At 40.3% G+C, this 22,467-nt stretch overlaps 1 protein-coding gene across 17 annotated transcripts in view, besides 1 other annotated feature; it reads left to right on the forward strand.

The window, feature by feature from the left end:
• The window catches only part of AHCYL2 (adenosylhomocysteinase like 2), a 205,182-nt gene that overhangs the window by 154,567 nt on the left and 28,148 nt on the right, over nt 1-22,467 (forward strand). For 10 of the 17 annotated variants that reach the window (NR_171671.1, XM_047420087.1, NM_001130720.3 and 7 more), the window contains 5 exons: nt 45-153; nt 9,460-9,603; nt 10,038-10,138; nt 17,626-17,728; nt 20,694-20,788. Coding sequence is in view for 16 of the 17 variants with exons in the window: in XM_047420087.1 (XP_047276043.1) it covers nt 45-153; nt 9,460-9,603; nt 10,038-10,138; nt 17,626-17,728; nt 20,694-20,788 (552 nt within the window). In the remaining variant the exon portion in view is untranslated. Of the gene's footprint in view, nt 1-41; nt 154-8,461; nt 8,650-9,213; nt 9,345-9,459; nt 9,604-10,037; nt 10,139-17,625; nt 17,729-20,693; nt 20,789-22,467 lie in introns of those variants that run through there. The other 7 variants (XM_047420088.1, NM_015328.4, XM_011515987.3 and 4 more) reach the window with 3 other exon arrangements.
• Nucleotides 2,945-3,129: a silencer, noted in NCBI's record as "fragment chr7:129022382-129022566 (GRCh37/hg19 assembly coordinates)". NCBI's record gives its function as "represses an EF-1alpha promoter that drives an FKBP-Casp9 reporter gene in an ReSE screen in K562 erythroleukemia cells {active_cell/tissue: K562}" and the evidence as "EXISTENCE:reporter gene assay evidence [ECO:0000049][PMID:32094911]".

A 22,467-nucleotide genomic window follows, 5' to 3' on the forward strand; every position in this document is an offset into this window, starting at 1 on the left:
GAGGTTCTTTTTCTTTATATAACTAGGTTTCTTTTTCTTAGCAGATCCAGTTTGCTGACCAGAAGCAAGAATTCAACAAACGTCCCACCAAAATTGGACGTCGCTCTTTGTCTCGTTCCATTTCTCAGTCATCTACTGACAGCTACAGCTCAGGTGAGTACTGAACTGCTGTGGACCCAGCTGTTGAGGCTAATAAGTACGATCTCAATGGGCCCTCCTGTCTATCCAAGGCTAATTAAGCATGACCAAGACTGTGCTTTGAATAAATACTTCGAGTCAAAATTTAGACTAAAATGCTGGGTGGAATATTTGGATTTCTCTTGGCAATTCAGAGTGGAGCTTAATAGAGGCCTCCTCTTCCAATAGAGTCAGAAGAGGGTGATTAAGGAAATTGAATTCTTTAATCTACTCAGAAGGGTGGGAATATGTCATTGATGATCTTTCCGGAACAGTATGTGTATATACTTGTGGTCTTTTTTTTTTTTCATCCTTTGAAAATAAAAAAGAAATTCTTCATCCCTCCATCTGGTACTTGCAAATTAACAGGGAAACCTCAATTGCCCCAAGAAGTAATGACACACTGTAGCTAGTTCAAGCAAGTGAGCCCTTTGCCTTCTCTCCTAAGCTGTGACATTGGACTTCTTGTTATTCCTCCCATCCTTTGCACTGGCATTAACTCAGATACATGTGCCCTGGGACTGAGTTATCATTTAATGCCAGGTGAGCTGTTACTGTGTAGGACCCCTTGAAGGCATCGGCTAGTATGCTAAACGCTGCCTAGTATGAGTCGGATTTAATATGGAGTTAGTTTATTTTGCTCTTGTGTTGGGATGTGATAGGGAGCTGAGTGCTTGCCCTAGTTACCTCTTCACATTATAAATAGTAATATTCATTAGAAAATGTTTATTATGACCTGAAATTTTATTTGTTCTTCGTACAAATAGGAAAGTAATATTTGTTATATAAAGTTGAAAAACAGTTGTTTGGGAAGCTGTAGCTTTTAGGCTGGGTAGATTATTTATATACTTTTTACATTTGTCTTTTTACTTTCCCCCCACAGTAACAGTGAATGATGTAAAGCATATGATATCACTTCCTATGGATTTTTATCTAAAGATACAGAATCTTGTACTACCTTTTTTGTGGGGTAGCACAAGATTTGAGACAGGGTCTCACTCTGTCACCCAGGCAGGAGTGCAAGTGGCATGGTCATAGCTCACTGCAGCCTTGACCTCACGGACTCAAGTGATCCTCCCACCTCAGTCTCCTGAGTAGCTGAGACCACAGGCACCCACCACCATGCCTGCCTAAATTTAAAATTATTTGTAGAGATGGAATCTCACCATGTTGCCCAGGCTGGTCTTGAACTTCTGAGCTCAAATGATTCTCCTCAGCCTACCAAAGTTCTGGGATTACAGGCGTGAGCCACTGCGCCAGGCCAGGAAACCTATCTTATTCTGCTGAAATAAGCAGTGTTGAAAATTCACAAACTGGTTAATGTAACTCTGGAAACCACAATAATTGTGAAAAATGTGAATTGTAAAATAGTTTGTAACATTTCAAGCTGTGGGTTTGTGCATGTTATCTAAAGATTGATACTAAATAATAATAATATCAAATTTTAACTCCAGCTCAGTCTCTCCCCTACACACTAGATATACATATCCAACTATATTCCTGCAGAGGAAACCAATACCTGCCTTCCCACCCAGTCCCCATAGGCAGGGAGGGTACTTTAAAAAATATCTATTTACCTGGAAGAGAGTAATTAATGCTCTTAGTTTCTAAGTGAGCACATAGTGGCTTGGCATAGCTCATTGGTGAATGATATAGACTGGTATCATCCTGGTAAACTTGGACCTTTTAGATTAAACTATATGAAATTATCATTTTTATAAGTCAAAAATTGTCTACCTAATGTATCTGTTTAATGATACTAAGTTCAGGCACAGGAAGTCAAAACATCCTGGAGATGAAAAAGAACTTAAAGATCTCATTCTGCTTCCCTCTAATTGCTGACCTCTTTGGAACATAGGGTGCTACTTACTATACATAGTTATTTATCTCCTGATAAGTTCTTATATAATCCCTGGAATTTAAAGATTTTATTTAAAATTTGCTGGCTTTGGTTGCCTGATTTAGGGGTATCCCACTGTCCTGGTTACCCTCATCTGGATCTATTTCAGATTAGGTATCATTTTAAAAACATTATGCCTATCAACATAATATTCTCAGTGGTCTGAACTAATCTACAGGAAGTGTTAGTTCTGTAAACTCAGTGCTTTTAAAATGAAACCCAAAATGTTTGCTTCTTTAGCAGCTGCATCACATGCACTGTTACCTTGTTTTGTTTTTTGTTTCTTTCTTTTTCTTTTCCCCTTTGAGTGAATGGTTGTCAAGCCCTTTTAAACAGACTCTGACTAGAAATGCCTACTATCCTGATTATTGGACTAGGAGTTAGGAGAGACCTAGTTTCTAGTCTTTGATCCATGTTTGATTTGTTGTGTGACGCTGGAAAACTCTTGCACCTGGCATCTTCGTAACACAGACAATGGAAAGTTATATACAATGATAGAAAAAGAGTTTCATGTGCATCGAATGAAAAGCCAAAAGTAATGGAACTGACTCACAACTCTCTAAATATGACAAGACATATATGCAAATATGTGTCAATAAAAACTTGGGGCCCATTTTCAGCATATGTTATAATTTAAATGACTAGGCTGGGCACAGTGGCTCATGCCTGTAATTCCAGCAATTTGGGAGGCCGAGACAGGCAGATCACCTGAGGTCAGGCATTCAAGACCAGCCTTGCTAACACGGTGAAACCCCGTCTCCACAAAAAATTTAAAAATTAGCCAGGCGTCGTGGCGCATGCCTGTAATCCCAGCTACTCCGGAGTCTGAGGCATGAGAATCGCTTGAACCCAGGAGACAGAGGTTGCAGTGGGCCAAGATTGTGCCACTGCACTTCAGCCTGGGCAATAGAGTGAGACTTTTTTTTATTTAATAAAAAAAAATAATTTTAGGCAGGGCGCGTTGGCTCACGCCTATAATCCCAGCACTTTGGGAGGCTGAGGTCGGCGAATCACCTGAGGCCGGGGGTTCGAGACCAGCCTGACCAACATGGAGAAACCCCATCTCTACTAAACATACAAAAATTAGCCAGGTGTGGTGGCACATGCCTGTAATCCCAGCTACTCGGGAGGCTGAGGCAGGAGAATTGCTTGAACCCAGGAGGCAGAGGTTGCGGTGAGCCAAGATCATGCCATTGCACTCCAGCCTGGGCAACAAGAGTGAAACTATGTCTCAAAAAAAATTAATAATTTAAATGACTATAGAAATTAACACTGGAAAGCCCCAAAGACTCATCCTTGGACCTCTTCCCTTCTCAGTTTATACTTTCTCCCTAGATGAACTCATTTATCTCATAGGTTTAAATATCATGTATTGGTGTTTGATTCTCATATTTTATCCAGCTCAAATCTGTCTCCTATATACTAGATTCATATATACAACTGCCTGCTGAGTCCTTTCACTTGAATGTTTTATAGATATCTCTTTTTATTTTATTCTATTTTTTTTTAAGAGACAGGGTCTTGCTTTGTTGTCCAGGCTGGAGTGTAGTGGCACAATCATGGCTTACTGTAGCCTCGAACTCTTGGGCTCAGGCAGTCTTCCCACCTCAGCCTCCCCAGTAACTAGGACTACAGATGTGTACCATCACATCTGGCTAATTTTTTAAAATTTTTTTGTAGAGATAGGGGTCTCACTTTGTTGCCTAGGCTGGTCTCAAACTCCTGGCCTCAAGCAATCCTCCTCCCAAAGTGCTGGGATTACAGACATGAGCCATGGCACCCAGCCCATAGACATCTCAAACCTCCCATGTATTAAAAACTGAACTCCTCAGTTCCAACCTTACCCATCTTCAGTCTATTCTCAACACTACAGCCAAATGTATTCTTTTAAAATAAGTCATGTCATATCATTTCACTGCCTAAAACCTTCCAGTGGCTTCCCAATCTCACTCTTAGGTAAAGCCTAAAGTTCTTACAATGGCCTACATTTCTGTTCACCTCTCTACTTCCCCAAACCTCCTCCCTCCCCGAGATGTTCATTTCACTCTGGCCTTACTAGCCTCCTACTGTTATTTTGAAACACGCCATGCACTCTCCTGCTTCGAGACCTTTGTACCTGTTCCCTCTACTTGGAATGCTCTTTTTCCAGATACATGCATTGCTGGCTACCTTACCTCCTTCAGTTCTTCACCAAAAATTATCAACTTCTCACTGAATCCTATCCTGGCTACTCTTTTAAATTGTACCCAGCATGGTGACTATAGTTACAACAATGTGTTGTATTCTAGAAAATTGCTAAGACAACAGATTTTAAGTGTTCTCACCACAAAGAAATGATAGGGATATGAGATAATGCATATGTTAATTATCTCTGTTGAGCCATTCCACAATGTGTACATATCTCAAAACATCATGTTATACACATAAATATATACAATTTTTGTCAATTAAAAATTAATTCATTAAAAGTAAATATGATACAGAACTCCACCCAACATTCTCTGTCAAATTTTCCTCCTTTATTTTTCTTCATAGCACTTATCATATAACATATATATGATAATATATATCATATATATTATGTTGCTAATATGTTTTGCTAATATATCATATATATGATAATATATATCATATATATTATGTTGCTAATATGTTGCTAATATGTTTTGGTCTTTTCCTTTCTATTTAAATGCAGGATCCATGAGAACAGAGATTTTTTTTTTTTCTGTTTTACATTGCTCTATTCCCAGCACTTAGAACTGTGTTTGACACAGAAGAGGTACTCAATAAATAAATATTGGTGAAAGGTGTTCAGAGACGTTATACTTTTATACCCTTGTTGAGGTCCCTAATATACTCAGTGTGTATGAACAACAAAAGCAGGTTTATGAGATTTCAAAAAAAGATACTTTCCTGTCCAAAGTGCTTGTTTTGCTGAAGATACTCAGAGGCTTACATAGGCTCTAGCCTCGTCTCCCTTCCTAAGGCTCCTAGTACTAAGTTTTGCCATGCTTTCATTTAGGAACCTCTGCCAGCTTTTCTCAACCAGGGATCCTCATCTGAATCACAGAACACAGAAAATGATTTTATAGACTTTTCTTAATTTTCCAAAAGATGATACATAACTAGTACTTTCCAGATGCGTAGGAGAGAAGTTAATTCATTATGTACAATGGATGCTTCAAGGCATTAGGACTTAATTTCTAGCAGAACCCAGGTTGAAAAACGCTGCATTAATCCACGAAACTATTTTATAAGAAGCAAACTTCTAAAAAACTCTTCCCCTAAGGAAAAAAACCTCATAAAAACAAATGAACAGAAGAGACTTCTTTTTTAATCAGACCGTTCTCAGTGATATATTTCTGAATAAGCTGTCTTTGCAATGAGTTACTTGGTTAAGGATGAGGAAAGAAGACAGAAGTCCCTTCTTCACGATTGGTTCTTTTTGTTCCCAAACTCTACAATTCTTATAAAGTTTGAGATATTTTCAGATTTTTCCAAACAACAAAATTTTGTGTTTGTATTTGGGATGCTAGCATAGCTTTTTACACATTTCCAGAGTGTTACTCATCAGTGAAGTCTGCTATAACCCGACACACAGGTCCCTACTGTTATTTCCATTACCAAATGAATAGGTTAGGCCCAAGAGGAATTGCCTGACATAAAATAGTCTAATAGGACTAATTCAGTCAGGGTTCTGACTGCTGCTTCTCCTAGCAGTAACTCACAGTATCACAGCTGCTGAGAGGTAAAGCTTAATCAGGCTTGAATCATAAAATGTGTATACATGTTCTGTGAGATAGATTGTGGATTCTTGATTCATCATGCTGTCTTTTGATTTTGGAAAATAATGAAACAAGATAACATCCCATAGTAAAGTTATATTGTACTTCATACTACTTTTCTACGTAGAAACTGAACCCTTTTGGTTATCATCTCATTTATTCGTAAGATTTTTCCGGTGGTAGTTGGGGGAAAGAGAGAGCATGAGGAAAGAGGGAATCTGTTACAGTTTACAGTTGGATAAATTGAAAATTGGTCACTTAACCACTTAGGGTTGAAGCTAGATCTAGGATCTCAGGACTACTTTAGTAGGTTATTGGTTGTTCTTGTTTATTTAAATTATGACTCTGGGCTTTAGAGTATGCTGACAATTACAAATATTTTAGAAACTCTGTTCAAGTGTGTTTGTACATACGTGTTGGGTTTCTCTAAATTTTCCTAGGAACAGTCCTTAATACTATCTCAACTGTCATCATGAGTTTGTTACTCTGTGGCAGAAATGAGTACGGATTCAAAGAATAAATGAGTAAATTTATTTATTCATTTATTTATAATTCATTCATTTATAATTCAGCAATAACCTTTCCACTGTGTTTGCAGAACTAATAATATATTCTCTTGGTCTGGATCTGTCAGCCATGTCGTATCCACATAGTAGTACAATCTAGACAACTGATATTTTTGGTTCTTACCTGATAGCAGGTCCGTATAAAGGGCTCTTTGAGGCCGGGCATGGTGGCTCAAGCCTGTAATCCCAGCACTTTGGGAGGTCAAGGTGGGCGGATCACCTGAGGTCAGGAGTTCAAGACCAGCCTGCCCAGCATGGCGAAACCCCGTCTCTACTAAAAAGGCAAAAATTAGCCAGGCACCGTGGTGGGCTCCTGTAATCCCAGCTACTAAGGAGGCTGAGGCAGGATAATTGCTTGAACCCAGGAGGCGGAGGTTGCAGTGAGCTGAGATCGTGCTACTGTGCTCCAGCCTAGGTGACAGAGTAAGACCCTGGCTCAAAAAAAAAAAAAGGGATCTTTGAAAACAAATACATTTTGGCTCAAAGAAAAACATTGGTTGAATTAACTGTAACTACTTGACTCCTGTTAAGAAAGTAAAACACTGTTTTTTCCAGGTTTTAGAATAGAGAAGTGGTGTAAAGATTTTTTTCTTTGAGTTGGTGTGGGGAAATGGTAAAGCCAGAAATTGGAATGCTTCTCTTAAGGGGAAATTTTCAAATTTTGTTTTGCTTTTTGGTTTTCTTCTGACTCATTCTTAGAAACTAAAGAGGCATAGGAAGGGCAATCTCTTCTGGGTAGAGTTAGGACTCCAGTCTCAACCTCTCAAATCACTGCCAGCCAACCACCTGCTGTTTGGGTAGATTAGTAGGAGATGATGGAGGTATAAAAAAAGATAAACTGCTAAATGATTATGTATGTATATCATTCTTTTCCCATTCAAAATCTTAAAGCTGAGTAAGAACCCTTAAAGATGTTATATCTGGAACTGAATTTAAAATATGTGCTAAAGTGGGTAATATCAGGTATCATTTATTGAGTGCTTAATTACTGTATGCCAAGCATTGCAGTAAACACTTTACATACATTATCTTACTTAATCTGCTTAACAACTTGACTCTGACAAGTCATGTTCTCCTATTATATAGTCTTATGACATCCTGATTTCTGCTTTATAGCACACATTACAGATGTATTTTTTAAAGCTCTAAATAATTAATTTTGTAACTAGTTATTTCTTTTTTGACTCACTGACTAGACTGAAAACTCCATGAAGATAAGGACCATCTATATCTGTCCTGTATTTCCAGCACCTAGGCTATGCCTAGTACATAATAGATGCATAACTAAAATTTGAATAAACACCTGAGTGTGTGAATGACTGAATACGTGAATAAATTAACAACTCTTTCAAACGGATCAGCTCCACTTTATACACCCAAAAACAGAGACTGAGACTTAAACCAAAGACTGACTCCAGAACACATGACCGCTATATTTAAATGGCCATTGGGAAGCATAAAAATCATCATGACTCTGAAAAAGAATTTGAGATTTCAGGATATTCTGAATATGAACACTTTCTTCAAAAGTAATTTTCCATAAATCTGGATCGGGATTAGAGATGGCTGTTATCTTTTTATCTCTCAGGTGGTAGAAGCATGGTTCCCCTAAGCCTCTGATTTATTAGGTATTTCTGAATATTGATTAGTAAAACAGATGACTTCCCAGAAAGCTGTGTCTGGGTTCTGTTGCCAAAAGTACTTTGAGCTTTCACTCACCCTAGGAGAGGGAACCACAAACTTTTTGTACAGATTAGCTCCTTTCAAGAACAAAAGTCTCTTTGGGGATTTACTAATTCCCTCACCTCCCCTGGTGCCCATGTTCATTCCTGTTGCCTCGTGTTAGGACTTTGCTCCAGCTCCAAAAGAGATTCTGAAGCCCCTGCTGCCCAAATGGTTTGTAGTGCCATGCCTGATTAACTGGGCAAGGTCAGACTTGCCTTTTACAGCCCTCGCAGAGGTAGACCCTTTGCTAAGAAATCTCAGAAATGCCTTAATTCTCTGCATATAAGTAGATCAGAGCATCGTAGACCGTAGGCACTCTGAGCTTTCACAGTTTTCTACCCTTAAAAGTGATGGCAGTACTTATTCCATTGAGAGATACAAAGCGTTTTCTAGAGAGTGTTTCTTAACCCCCCAAAAAACTTGGGGGTTAAGAACTATCTTCAGAAGCTCAAACACAAATCAGGGAAGGACACTGCTTCAAATAATCTAGCAAATGGTTAGTAACTACAGAATCCTATGAAGACTAAAAAGACCCCAGCTAAGCATGTGAATAGTAGTAGCAGCAGCTGCCTGTTAACCACGATAAAAAGTTTTAGGCCTTTCACACTCTAGTATATGTTGCTAAATGGATTAGTTATCAGAGCATTTTATTGTACCAAAGGAGGATTTATTCACTTCTTTGGGAGTCTAAAATGCCTAACGCCAGACCTACTGAGGCCAGCAAGAAGGGAGAGCACATTGAATACTTCATTGTCAATGTCTAATTGGGTCTGCAGGCACAATTCAGCCTCATCAGAGTCCGTCTTAAAAAAGAAAGCTCTGTTAGGTCAGACAAATACTTTTTGTGTGGTTCTTAATTACTTTCCCATGGATTCCTTGTTTTCTAGGTCTTATCTGTTCAGTAATTGTACTAAAACACAAATTATATCAAACATTTAAGCAGCACACAGAGCAGAGTAGTTAGAATCCCAAAAACCCATATGTTAATGACCACGATCTTGCATTAGGAACTTTAACCTAATGCTACCATGGTGTAACCTTTTCTTTTTGCGTATTCAAGGACCTCTGCGTGTTCTGAAGATAAAGTTAGCCCTACATTTCAAGTTAAGGCTATCCAGGAAGAATGTCTTTGGCAATCTCTTTCAGCTTCCCTCTTCTGGCATGTGTATAGCCTGCAGGTACTTAACAGAGGTAAAAAAATTTATATGGTGCTAGGTGGCTAGAGAAGCTTCAGTTTGCTCCATGGTTTGGAATTTTAGAGGAAGCATTTTTTTTTTTCCGAGTGTTTTTTATTCTGTCATTCCAGCGGCTTCATATACAGATAGCTCTGATGATGAGACATCGCCCAGGGACAAGCAGCAAAAGAACTCTAAGGGAAGCAGTGACTTCTGTGTTAAGAACATCAAACAGGCAGAGTTTGGACGAAGAGAAATTGAAATTGCTGAACAAGGTAAAGAAAACAAGCACCTTTTCCTTCTTAACCTACCTGTGTCTTTTTGTCCATATTAATCCCTTTTTATGTCTGGGGTCTGGTAGCTTGTGAAATTTCTATGTGATAAGAATACTTATAACAAAAGAAATGTGAGTTCAAGAAACACTGGGGAAATCTGGCAAGTCTAGAAGGAACCCTGTATTAAAAAAAAAAAAAAAAAAGGGAGAGAGACTGGATAAGGACTGGAATATAGAGAATCAGAACCCTGGAGCATTTGCCTCCAAAAGCCCTTTATAAAGGAAAATACAGGTTTAATGTCTTGATCCCTGGAGAAACCTAATCTAACCTGATCAGGGGAAGGATCTTAACTTAAGAAAACAAGTTTTTCTGTTTGTTCTTTTATCTCTTATTCCTTCTTCTTTAATATTGCTGTATTTATTGGGCCTTTTCAGAAATGCCTGCATTGATGGCTTTGAGGAAGAGAGCTCAAGGAGAAAAGCCTTTGGCTGGAGCCAAAATCGTGGGTTGCACACACATCACTGCTCAGACTGCTGTGAGTTCTTTTCTTTTCTCCTTTTAATTACAATAGTTAATAATAGCCACGAGCTACTGAAAGCTTACAACATGCCAAGCACCGAGTTAAGAGCTTAACAAGTATTAGCTTATTAATCCTTATAATGGCCATATAAAGCAGGTATTCTTGTTTCCATTTTATAAACGAAGAAGCTGAGGCTCAGAGGGCTTAAGATATTTGTTTAAGGTTATACAGCTAGAAATCACAGAGTCAAGATTTTAACTTCAATATACAGTAGTCCCCCTGCCTTGTCTGTGGGGGATAAGTTTCAAGACCCCTAGTGGACACCTGAAACTTCAGACAGTACTGAACCCTATATATACTATGTTTTTTCCTATACATATATACCTATAATCAAGTTTAATTTATGCAATTGGCCCTGCATGTCCACCAGTTCTGCTTCCTGAGGATTTGACCAACTGCAGATCAAAAATATTCAGAAAATAAAATAATACAACAATACAAAATAACAAGAAATATAACAACTATTTACATAGCATTTACACTGTATTGGGTACTATAAATAACCTAGAGATGCTTTAAAATATACAGAAGGATGTGCACAGATTATATGCAAACACTGCATCATTTTATATAAGGGACATGAGCATCCTCAGATTTTGGTATCCATGGGAGTGCTGGAATAAATCCCCTGAGGATACTGAGAGACAGCTATAAATTCAGCACAGTAAGAAATGAACAACAGTAACTCAAAATAAAAGAGAGCAATTACAACAACAGACTGTAATAAAAGTTATGTCACATAAAGGAATTTATCACAGTACATAGCAGAAAGTCCAAAGGGAAGGCAGACTTCAGATGCAGGATCTCAGGGCTCCAGCTTCACCTCTCTGATTCTCTTGGAGCTGCCTCCTCAGTATGCTTACTTCACCCTAAAGCTGATAGCAAGATGCTTACAACTATTCTAGTCATCACAAACTGACATGAAAAGGAAGAGGGACCATTTCTTCCTCACTCAAGAGAAGTCCCTCCAGGATACTCCATCGTGTCTCATTGGGCAGAACTGGATCATGTATCTGTGCTCCACCAGTCCTACCGAGGGGCGTGGAATTACCATGATTTGCTTACACCAGTGATTCCTACCTTACTCTCATCAGTTTTAATGTCCCCTTTTTATTAAAAAACTTTTTTTTTGCAGTGTCCCTGAACTATCCTGAAATGAAATTCAGATATAACATGTCCAGGTACATATAATCTTTAAAAATAAATCAATATAAAATCTTAACTGAAATATGAAGGAGGAATAAAAAAAGTACAATACTTAAAATAATGTGTATTTCAATATGTAAATACTTGAGGACAACTATAGTAGAACAATCAGATATTTGTACTATTTCACAGTATTATTTGAAATAGTATTATTTGAAGACAGAAATAAATGTGTTATTGATTCCAGAGCATCAGAGCAGCATTGCCATGATTTTCTGAAATAGTAAACAACTTTTTGTAATCTTCTAAACAATAAGAACAACAAAAAGTATGAGTTTTCTCTTCATTTACATAGCTGTTACATTCCTGGAAAAACTATTGTTTTGTATTAAAACTACAAAACTACTTTTTGCTAATTTGTAAAGTGGAATTAGGTTCTAAACTCAGATAATTGTAGATAGGTTTTTCACCCATGGGAACTTTTATTGGGACATTTGAAAATTGTACCAGCTGCAACACAGTTTTTTGTTGAGACACTTTCAAAATGTCCAGATTCCTGGTCCTGCCCACTAAATGCCAATAGCACTCCCCTTCCAATTATTGTGGCAACCAAAAATGCCCCCACAATTTTCTAGATCTCCTCTTTTATCACCAGAGATGCAATATATATGGAGTTGCTAACCATAATGAGACCACTATCGGGAAATTGTTATATTGAGCAGTGGTCTGGAATCTTTTATGGGGATTCATAAGATCTGGGTCATCTGTGTGGCTAGATCAGCTTTCCAAAGATTGTCTCTCCCAAAGCACAACACTTATGTGGTCACATTCCTGATTAAGAACATTAGAGATTCCTCAAGGTACAGACAGCTTCTATTAGCATCTTCACTATGAAACTTTTCTGGGTTATGTGTTCTCTGAGGACAAGAGTACCCTGACTGCTCAAAATTAATATAATAAATTGAAAAGCTATCTGTTTTGGAGCTACAAACTAATGAATCAAGACAGAAACACTCTTGAATCTTTTTTGGCCTGCTCAGTCAGCGACATGAGACTTCAGTGTGGTAGCTTAAAATAGTAAGTGCTTCTCTACTGTCTCATGTTGCTGAATTACATCTAGTTTGTTTTTTACCCTTAGGCTCAGTGAGCATTACCACCTTTCATGGTTCCCTTTCTATTTTTTTCCTGAATGGATTGATCACAATTAGCTTACCAATTTTAATATTAATTTATTGTTTCCACCCCACATTTTTTTCCTTTAAAAAAATAACGACAAAGAAATTATGCTTTGTTTGCCAACCTAATACTCTTTCACTCTTGTCTTAGTTCATTTGGGCTGCTATAACAAAATACCTTAGACTGGGTAATTAATAAACAATAGATATTTATTGTTCACAGTTCTGGAGGCTAGGAAGTCCAAGATCAAGGCGCCAGCAGATTCAGTATCTGGTGAGGGCCTGTTCCTTATAGATGGCGCTTTCTATGTGCCCTCACATGGCCAAAGGGGCAAGCAAGCTTCCTCAGGCTTGTTTTATAAGTACACTAATCCCATTTGTGAGGGCAGAAATCTCATGTCTAATCACCTTCCAATCACTTCCATAATCACCTTTTAATACCATCGCCTAGGGGGTTAGTTTTTAACATATGACTCTGGGGGAGGAGAACATACATTCAGACCATAGCAATCCCCAAATACTTTAGTGTGTATTTTCTACAAAGAAGGACATTTTCCTGTACTAGCAGTATAACCATCAGAAGTAGAAAATTAACATTGATTCATTATTACCATCCAATCCTTAGATCCCACTGGAGTTTCGCTTGTTGTTCTGATAATATTTTTCTAACAAAAGAATCCAGTCCATGGTTATATGTCACATTTAGTTGTCATGTCTTTTTAATCTTCATTAGTACAGAACAGTTTCTCAGTCTTTCTTTGATTTTCATGACCTTGACACTTTTGAAGATTACAGATGAATTATTTTGTAGAATTTCCTCAATTTGGATTTTTCTGATGCTTCCTCATTATGAGATTCAGGCTATACATCTATGGTGGGAATTCAGGGAAGTGATATATCCTATCAGGTGACACATGATTTCAGTTTGTCCCAGAACTGATGATATTCACTTTAATCCCTTGATTGAGGTGGTGTCTCCCAGGATTTTCCTCTGTAAAAGTTTTTTTCCCAGTTTATAATTAATATGTTTTTTGGGCTGGGTGTGATGGCTCACGCCTGTAATCCCAGCACTTTGGGACGTCAAGGTTGGCAGATCACTTGAACCCAGGAGTTGAAGACTAGCCTAGGCAACATGGTAAAACCCCATCTCTACAAAAAAATACAAAAGTTAGCCAGGTGTGGTGGCATGTGCCTGTAGTTCCAGCTACTTGGGAGGCTGAGGTGGGAGGATTGATTGAGCCCGAAAGGTCGAGATTGCAGTGAGCAGTGAGCTGAGATTGCACTGCACTCCAGCCTGGGTGACAGAGTGAGACCCTGTCTCAAAAATAAATAAAAATAGAATTAATATGTTTATGTGAGATAGTACTATGAAACTGTAAATATCTCATTCTTTATCTTACTTTGATTTATTCATTATTTTTATTTGTATGGAATCATTGTTTCCTATTTTATTTAATAGGTTATAATCCATTACTATCATTACTTATTTACATGATCATCTTGTTCCCAGTTTGACCAGGGAGAGCCTCTTCAGTGTGGCTTCTGTGACTTCTTTTGTCTTTTGATATATCCCTTTCATTCTTTGAACATTTCCTTGCTTTTGGTACAAGATCACCTAAGCTCATCTTGAACATTCCATGCCCTACTCTTGGAACCAGCCATTTCTCCCAGAATGCCTAGCTCCTTTTAGTGGATCTGGGCACTAATGTGCTCTTTGCTTTTGAAATGTCATTGTTCCCAGATCCTCTTTTTTCCCTCTCCATACATGTAACTGGAGTTCCAGAAGGCAAAGAGGGAAAGAATCCATAGACTCCCATAGACCCCATAGATTTTGAGCACTCCGTTGTGATTTTTTTCTGCCAGTCTTCTTCTTTTTGTATTTCAGTTCAGTAATTTCTTTTTTTGTTGTTGTTTTGTTTTGTTGAGTAGGGTCTCACTGTGTCACCCAGGCTGGAGTGCAGTGGTACAATCATTGCAGGCTCATTGCAGCCTCAAACTCCTGGGCTCAAGCGATCCTCCTGCCCCAGCCTCCCAAGTAACTGGGACTACAGGCATATACCACTATGCCTGGCTAATTTTTTTTAATTTTTTGTAGAGAAGAGATCTTGCTGTGATGCCCAGGCTGGTCTCAAACTCCTGGCCTCAAGCGATCTCCTGCCTCAGCCTTTCAAAGCGCTAGGGTTACAGGCATGAGTCACTGTGCCTGGCTCAGTTCAGTAATTTTTATTGGTCTATCTTCAGGTTCACTGATTCTGTCCTTGGATGTGCCCGGTCTGATGATAAACCTGTTGAAGGAACTTTTAATCTGACTTTTTTTTTTTCCTGGCATTTGTATTTGACTTTTTTTTTTTTTTTTTTTTTTTTGAGACAGAGTTTTGCTCTTGTTGCCCAGGCTGGAGTGCAACGGTGCAATCTTGGCTCACCACAACCTCCACCTCCTGGGATCAAGCGATTCTCCTGCCTCAGCCTCCCGAATAACTGGGATTAAAGGCATGTGGCACCAAGCAGCTAATTTTGTATTTTTAGTAGAGATGGGGTTTCTCCATGTTGGTCAGGCTGGTCTCAAACTCCCGACCCCAGGTGATCTGCCCACCTTGGCCTCCCAGAGTGCTGGCCTTTACAGGCCTGAGCCACTGCACCCAGCCTGTATTTGACTTTTTATTGTTTCCATCTCTGCTGAAATTTTCTATCTATTCATAGATGTTGTCTATCTTTCTCAACTAGATCCTTTAACATAAACATATTAGTCCAGCCTGGGCAATATAGCAAGATCCTGTGTATAAAAAAATATAAATAAATAACATAAACATATTAATCATAGTTATTTTATATCTCCTGTCTGATCAAACATCTGGCTCATCTGAGAGCCTGCCTCTGTTGTTTACTTATTTCCTGACAGTGGGTTTTTTTTTTTACTTTTTGTATGTCCTGACATTTTTAATTGAGTGGTAGTATATTAGTTTTCGTTATAGTCATGAATTGGGCTGAATTTAGAGTTCATTGTATATCAACAAAGGCTTCAAATTCCTCCAGCAGTGGACTGCTATAACCTTGTGATTTGAGGTTACCAAAGGACATTCCTCAGTGCTTCTGCTTTACCCTCAGCCTTCAGCTACTTCTGCACATGTGTGCCACAGAAGTGTCCTCTTTTCAAGTACCTGCCTCATCTGCCGCACTAGACTGCTGCTCTTTGTTTCCTGGGGCTAAGCACACGGTGAGGGCAAGTGGGGTTCTTGGATCTCTGGTGCAGTCTCAGTCTTAGGCAGACCTCTGTGAGGGGCAGGGTTTTCTCAATATTCCTGCCTCTCCTATCTGTAGCAGCCAAACTTTGCCTTGAATCTGTGGTGGGTCTTGGGCAAGACATATTTTCCTGCCCTTCCTGGAGAGCTGGAGAGGTAGCAGATCCTTACTTTGTATCAGTGAACTGTCCTGGGCCCAAGAGGTTTTCCTGTGCCTCTCCCAGAGGCAGAGTTTTTGCTTCTGCCTTCCTCCAGACACAGTGGATCTTTGCCTAGTCCCTAATGGCAGGCCCAATTCCTGCTCTTCCTACAGCTTGAGGCTTTGGTTCCTATGAGAGAAGAGTGTAGGGAAGTGCCCAGGTTTCATGTCTGTTTCTGAGCACAGCCAATCAGCTCCCTGCCCCAGTCTTTGTTTTGAGCACTGGGTGGAAGCCTCTGGAAAACAGCCTGCATGTGAATGGGAAATCTACTTGTGTCTGGAGCTTCAAAAAATTCCACATTGACACACTTTCCCACACCCAGCCTTTCGTAATTGTTCAAAAGTTTAGCTGATATTTTCTTATTCTTATCTGTGGCAGCCATTTCTTCCCCCCATGCACTGCCAAAGGTGAAACAGTCTTCCCTCTCTCTTTAAAAGGATTTGTCACTCTTTGGAGGGCAGTTCACTTCTGTGCTTTATGACCTCAAATCTTTGATGGGCTCAAGAAAAGTTTGGCTTTGTAGATTACCCAGTTTTTGGGGTTTGTGTGTGTTTGTGTGTTTATTTGTTCATTTATTTGTTTGTTTGTTTTGTTCTGTTTTGAGACGGAGTCTTGCTCTGTTGCCCAGGCTGGACTGCAGTGGCACAATCTCGGCTCACTGCAAGCTCTGCCTCCCAGGTTCACACCATTCTCCTGGCTCAGCCTCCCGAGTAGCTGGGACTACAGGCGCCCGCTACCACACCCGGCTAATTTTTTTTTGTATTTTTAGTAGAGATGGGGTTTCACCGTGTTAGCCAGGATGGTCTCGATCTCCTGACCTTGTGATCTGCCCGCCTCGGCCTCCCAAAGTGCTGGGATTACAGGCGTGAGCCACCGCGCCCCGCCATTTGTTTGTTTTTGAGACAGAGCTTTGCTCTTGTTGCCCAGGCTGGAGTGCAATGGTGCAATCTCAGCTCACTGCAATCTTCGCCTCACCGTTTCAAGCCATTGTCCTGCCTCAGCCTCCCGAGTAGCTGGGATTACAGGCATGCGCCACCATGCCTGGGTAATTTTTCTGTATTTTTAGTAGAGATAGGGTTTCACCATGTTGGCCAGGCTGGTCTCAAACTCCTGACCTCAGGTGATCCGCCCACCTCAGCCTCCCAAAGTGGGATTACAGTCGTGAGCCACCGTTCCTGGCCGTGTGTTTGGTTTTTTGGAGACAGGGTCTCACTCTGTTGTCCAGGCTGGAGTGCAGTGGCACAGTCATGACTCACTACAACCTCCATCTCCCAGGCTCAAGCAGTCCTCCCACCTCAGCCTTCCTAGTAGCTACCCAGCTTTTTCCTGTCGTTAAGGTGGGAGCTTCTCTTGTAGCTTTGTATGTTCTAAGCAGAAGCAGAACTGTAAATCTGTTTTTTCAGAAAAGTTTTGGCTCTGAAGTCCTTGGTTTATTAAATCTTATGGGGAAGCTTAATTTAAATTGGTAAAAACATAGAGTCAGCTGGAGCCTCCCTCTTCCCATGGCTTCCCCCAATACTTGCCTTCTTAGAATACTGAAGAGGTTCTGTAGAGCCCAATTTGAAAATCACTGGCTTAAGTCATTCCCGTTGTATTTTCTGATTGTAAAATATATAAACTTTATCTCCTTGACTAGTTGTTTGGCCCAGGCTTGCTCATACCCTGCTTTGTCTTTAATACAGGTGCTTATGGAAACTCTGGGTGCTCTGGGGGCCCAGTGCCGATGGGCTGCCTGCAACATCTATTCCACTCTCAATGAAGTGGCTGCTGCTCTAGCAGAAAGTGGTAAGAGCTTATTCTCTGTGCCTTTGGCTAAAGTAAGTCTATTTGGAGACTTACTTTATGTTTCAGCATAAATCTTTAAAGAAGGTTGACAATAAAAGAACTATCTTGGAAGAAATGGATCTCGATTCTTCATGAATTTGCTCTTTTTCTGGCCTTCGCTTGTCAAATATGATCTAGTTAACTTTGCTATTTTACAGTTGACAAATATCTACCTATGTCTAATATTCTATTGTTAGGTAATGCTTTGTTTTAACTCACTAATTCACTAATAGCAGAGCACTAGTGAACACTACTCACTGAGGTAACATGGATTAAAGGAGAAAATGCTTCAGCCATAGTTTTGTGACTCTGTTGGTTTTCCAGCAAGTAATTTGCCCTGACTTAATGTTTGGTGTTTCTGCTTCAGGAGTAAAGAAGACTTGACCTGGCAGATTAATATTTGATCACAACATCCACTGGTACTTGATGGACAAAAGAAATAGAGAAATTTGGACTTTGCCAGCCTCTTGCCTTTACTCTTTGGCAGTACAGCTAGCACTCTCAGCATTTCATTTGTTCTTTCATTTTAATTTACTTATTTATAAGATTTTATGGCTGTATATATGATAGAAAAATATTTAATACTTTATTAATACAAATATTAAATGTGTACCCCAGTGAATTGTACATACGCATTCATTTCTTTTCCTTTTTTTAAAAGTAGAAACGGAGTCTTGCTGGGTCACCCAGGCTGGGGTGCAGTAGTGCAGTCGTGTTTCACTGCATCCTTCAATTCCTAGGAACAGGTGATCCTCCCACTTCAGTCTTCTGAGTAGCTGGGACTTCAGGCATGTGCCACCATGCCCAGCTAATTTAAAAAAAATGTTTGAAGACACAGGGTCTTGCTGTGTTGCTCAGGCTGGTCTCAAACAGCCAGCCTCAAGTGATCCTCCTGCCTCATCCTCCCAAAGTGCTGGGATTACAGGTGTGAGCCACCATGCCCAGCCCATTTCTTTTTTCTGTTTTTTTTTTTAAATTTAATTTAATTTTTATTTTTTATTTTTATTTTTATTTTTATTTATTTATTTTTTTTGAGATGAAGTCTCACTCTGTCGCCCAGGCTGGAGTGCAGTGGCATGATCTCGGCTCACTGAAACCTCTGCCTCCCAGGTTCAAGCGATTCTCCTGCCTCAGCCTCCTGAGTAGCTGGGATTACAGGTGCCCTCCACTATACCCGGCTAATTTTTGTATTTTTAGTAGAGACGGGGTTTCACCATGTTAGTCAGGCTGGTCTCGAACTCCTGACCTCAGATGATCTGCCTGCCTCGGCCTCCCAAAGTGCTGGGATTACAGGTGTGAGCCACCGCACCCGGCTGCCCCATTTTTTTTTTTAAACAAATGCTTACTGACCTACGCTAAGAGCTGTAAGGGCAAATGAGACAATGTCCTTACCCTCAGAATCTTATATTTTGGTGAGATAATACACATATATAAATAATGATGATACAAGGACATATATAATAAATGCCATGACAGATTATAAATCCATATTCACTACACAAACAAGAGGCTTAGGAAAGTTCAGATTCCCACTTTGGGAAGCTGAGGCAGGTGGATCACCTGAGGTCAGGAATTCAAGACCAGCGTGGCCAACATGGTGAAACCCTGTCTTTACTAAGAGTACAAAAATTAGCTGAGTGTGGTGGTGCAGGCCTGTAATCCTAGCTACTCATGAGGCTGAGGCAGGAGAATCGCTTGAACCCAGGAGGCGGAGGCTGCAGTGAGCCGAGATCGCGCCACTGCACTCTAGCCTGGGTGACAGAGTGAGACTCCATCTCAAAAAAAAAAAAAAAAAAAAAAAGAGGCCAGGCGCGGTGGCTCACACCTGTAATCCCAGCACTTTGGGAGCCTGAGGTGGGCGGATCATGAGGTCAGAAGTTCGAGACCAGCCTGGCCAATATGGTGAAACCCCGTCTTTACTAAAAGTACAAAAATTAGCTGGGCGTGGTGCCACGCACCTGTAGTCCCAGCTACTCAGGAGGCTAAGGCAGGAGAATCGCTTGAACCCAGGAGGCAGAGGTTGCAGTGAGCCGAGATTATGCCACTGCACTCCAGCCTGGGTGACAGAGCAAGACTCCGTCTCAAAAAAAAAAAAGAAAAGAAAAGTTAAGATTCCTTGAGAGCTCATTTCCAGCTGGGTTAATCAGACTTCATTAGGAACATGACACTTAACTGGGCTATGAATTCTAGTAACGTTTTAGCAAGTGGAGAAACACGTAAGGGTTTTTTTCTTAATAATAGGGTGGAATGATTAAAGTATAGAAGCAAGAAAAATTAAAGTGTAATTGGGAAATGGTGAGAATGCCAGTTTGAGTGGATCAAGAAGTACCTGTTTCTGGTTTTTGTTTTCCCTTTAGTCACTTTTTTTTTTTTTTTTTTTTGAGACAGAGTCACGCCCTGTCGCCCAGGCTGGAGTGCAGTGGCACGATCTTGGCTCACTGCAACCTCCACCTCCCAGGTTCAAGCAATTCTCCTGCCTCAGGCTCCCAAGTAGCTGAGATTACAGGCATGCACCACCACGCCCAACTAATTTTTGTATTTTTAGTAGAAACAGGTTTCATCATGTTGGCCAGGCTGGCCTTGAACTCCTAACCTCAGGTGATCCACCCACCTCAGCCTCCCAAGGTGCTGGGATTTCAGGAGTGAGCCACCGCACCTGGCCCCCTTTCATTACATTTTAAACAACTGTCATACTTTTGTCCATTCTGCTTGTCCTCCTTGGGCTAATAAGAGCAGAATGACCAACAAAGACAAAGGAATGGATAAAGGGGCTGAAGGCAACGCCAATCAGTGAAGAATGTCAATCCAAGGAGTATAGCAGAATGAGAGAGTTGGAAATTAGGAAAAACCAGAATCTTCTCACTAAAATTAGGGGGTCAGCCTTTTTTGGTCTTTAATGGTTTCCCTTTGTTCCTTTTTTTCCCAGGATTTCCTGTTTTTGCCTGGAAGGGAGAGTCAGAAGATGACTTTTGGTGGTGTATCGATAGATGTGTGAATGTGGAGGGCTGGCAGCCAAACATGGTGGGTCAGATTTCTGCTAACACAATTCTGTAGGGGTCAGGAATGGGGATGGGTGGAGGTTATGGCCTAGGAGAGGGTTTCCCAACAAGAAGGAAGGAAAATGGCTTCATTTCTATCTGATATACCTGGGTTTCCAGCAGAACTAGATTCTTATGCTACGGGTACCCCAAGAGTATTGAAGCTCTTATAACCTCAGAGTGCCTTAATTATTGGTTCTAATGTTGGAAGCATTTATATTCATTAGAAACATTAAAGCACTGCCCAGGATTCACATGTGGCTGGTTAAAAAACAATAGTAATGAGTTTCCATCCCCTGCTACTGCCTACTTCCCACCCCTTACAACAACCAAAAAACCCAAACAAACCACCCCAGAACTCTGGAGATACTTAGCCTTCTCTCTAGAATCCATATACTTGTAATGTTAGTCAGGACTAGAAAAAAAATAAAAATAATATTCATATAATGAATTTATAGTAAACCTGAAGAGCTTACAAGTTCAAATTTCTTCTCTTTATATTCTTTCCCCACATTAAAAAAGACGAGATGAAGTTTTAGGGTTTTAATTTTTGCTTCATTTTTATTTTTGTTTTATTTTTTAGAAGATCAAGTCTTGAAGCCTCATAGCACATTAGATTTGCAAAGAGGCAAAAAGCTACACAAAGGGCCAGGTGTGGTGGCCTGTAATCCCAGCACTTTGGGAGCCCAAGGCAGGTGGATTACTTCAGCCCAGGAGTTCGAGACCAGCCTGGGCAACATAGGCTTTCTACAAAAAATACAAAAATTAGCAGGATGTGTTGGCATGCACCTGTAGTAGTAGTCCCAGCTACTTAGGAGGCTGGGACTCCTAAGTGGGAGGATCACTTGAGCCCAGGAGGTGGAGGTTGCAGTGAGCCGAGATCACACCACTGCAGTCCAGCCTGGGTGAGAGAGTGAAACCATGCCCCCATCCCAGTGCCCCCCCCCAAAAAAGCTACACAAAGTATAAGGTGCTCCTATTTTGCAAATAATTCTGCCCTCTCCCCTAGGGGGAGGGGGCAGAAATTAGGGAATGTACTGAGAAAAGAATCCCTGAAGCTCTAGTCCAACCATTGCTTGCTGCTGAAGGCTGCAGAGCAGGCCTCACTTGGTGCATGGCAGAGAAGTAGCTTCTTTCTGAATTCTGTGATCCAGGTCACACTGCACCAGGCTTGTTTGAGGAAGCTGGGTTAGAGCTTCATATCCTAAAGGGGTGGGGGAGCAGAGTTGACAGTGGCTGTAAGATGAGTCAGCTCATTCCAACAGTTTTAATAGTGACACAAGGGAGTGTGACTGACAGATGCTGAAGCAGATATGCCAGGGGGTTTCTCCTGGGAATAAAACATTGATTTTTAAAGTCAGGAACCCAGGGAGGACATTAGGATTATACCTGGAGAACTTTTACAAACTGTAGAACCAGCACAAACTGCTAGGAAGGTTAATAAAGAGAGTAAGACAAGGACAAAAACAGTTGTCACCCCAGAAAACAGGACCCATACCTGTTTGGATTCTGTCAAGATTTAGTACTTCTCCTTGCTTCCCAACCTCTGGAAGATTTCCTGATGACAATAATTTTCTGCAGTAGATTTATATGGTGAGAATTATGGGCAGCATTCATTAAGTAAATCTTAGAGACAGCAACTACTGTCTCTAGTGGATAAGA

This window comes from Homo sapiens, chromosome 7 (genome assembly GCF_000001405.40).
Source record: "Homo sapiens chromosome 7, GRCh38.p14 Primary Assembly".
NCBI lineage: Eukaryota > Metazoa > Chordata > Mammalia > Primates > Hominidae > Homo > Homo sapiens.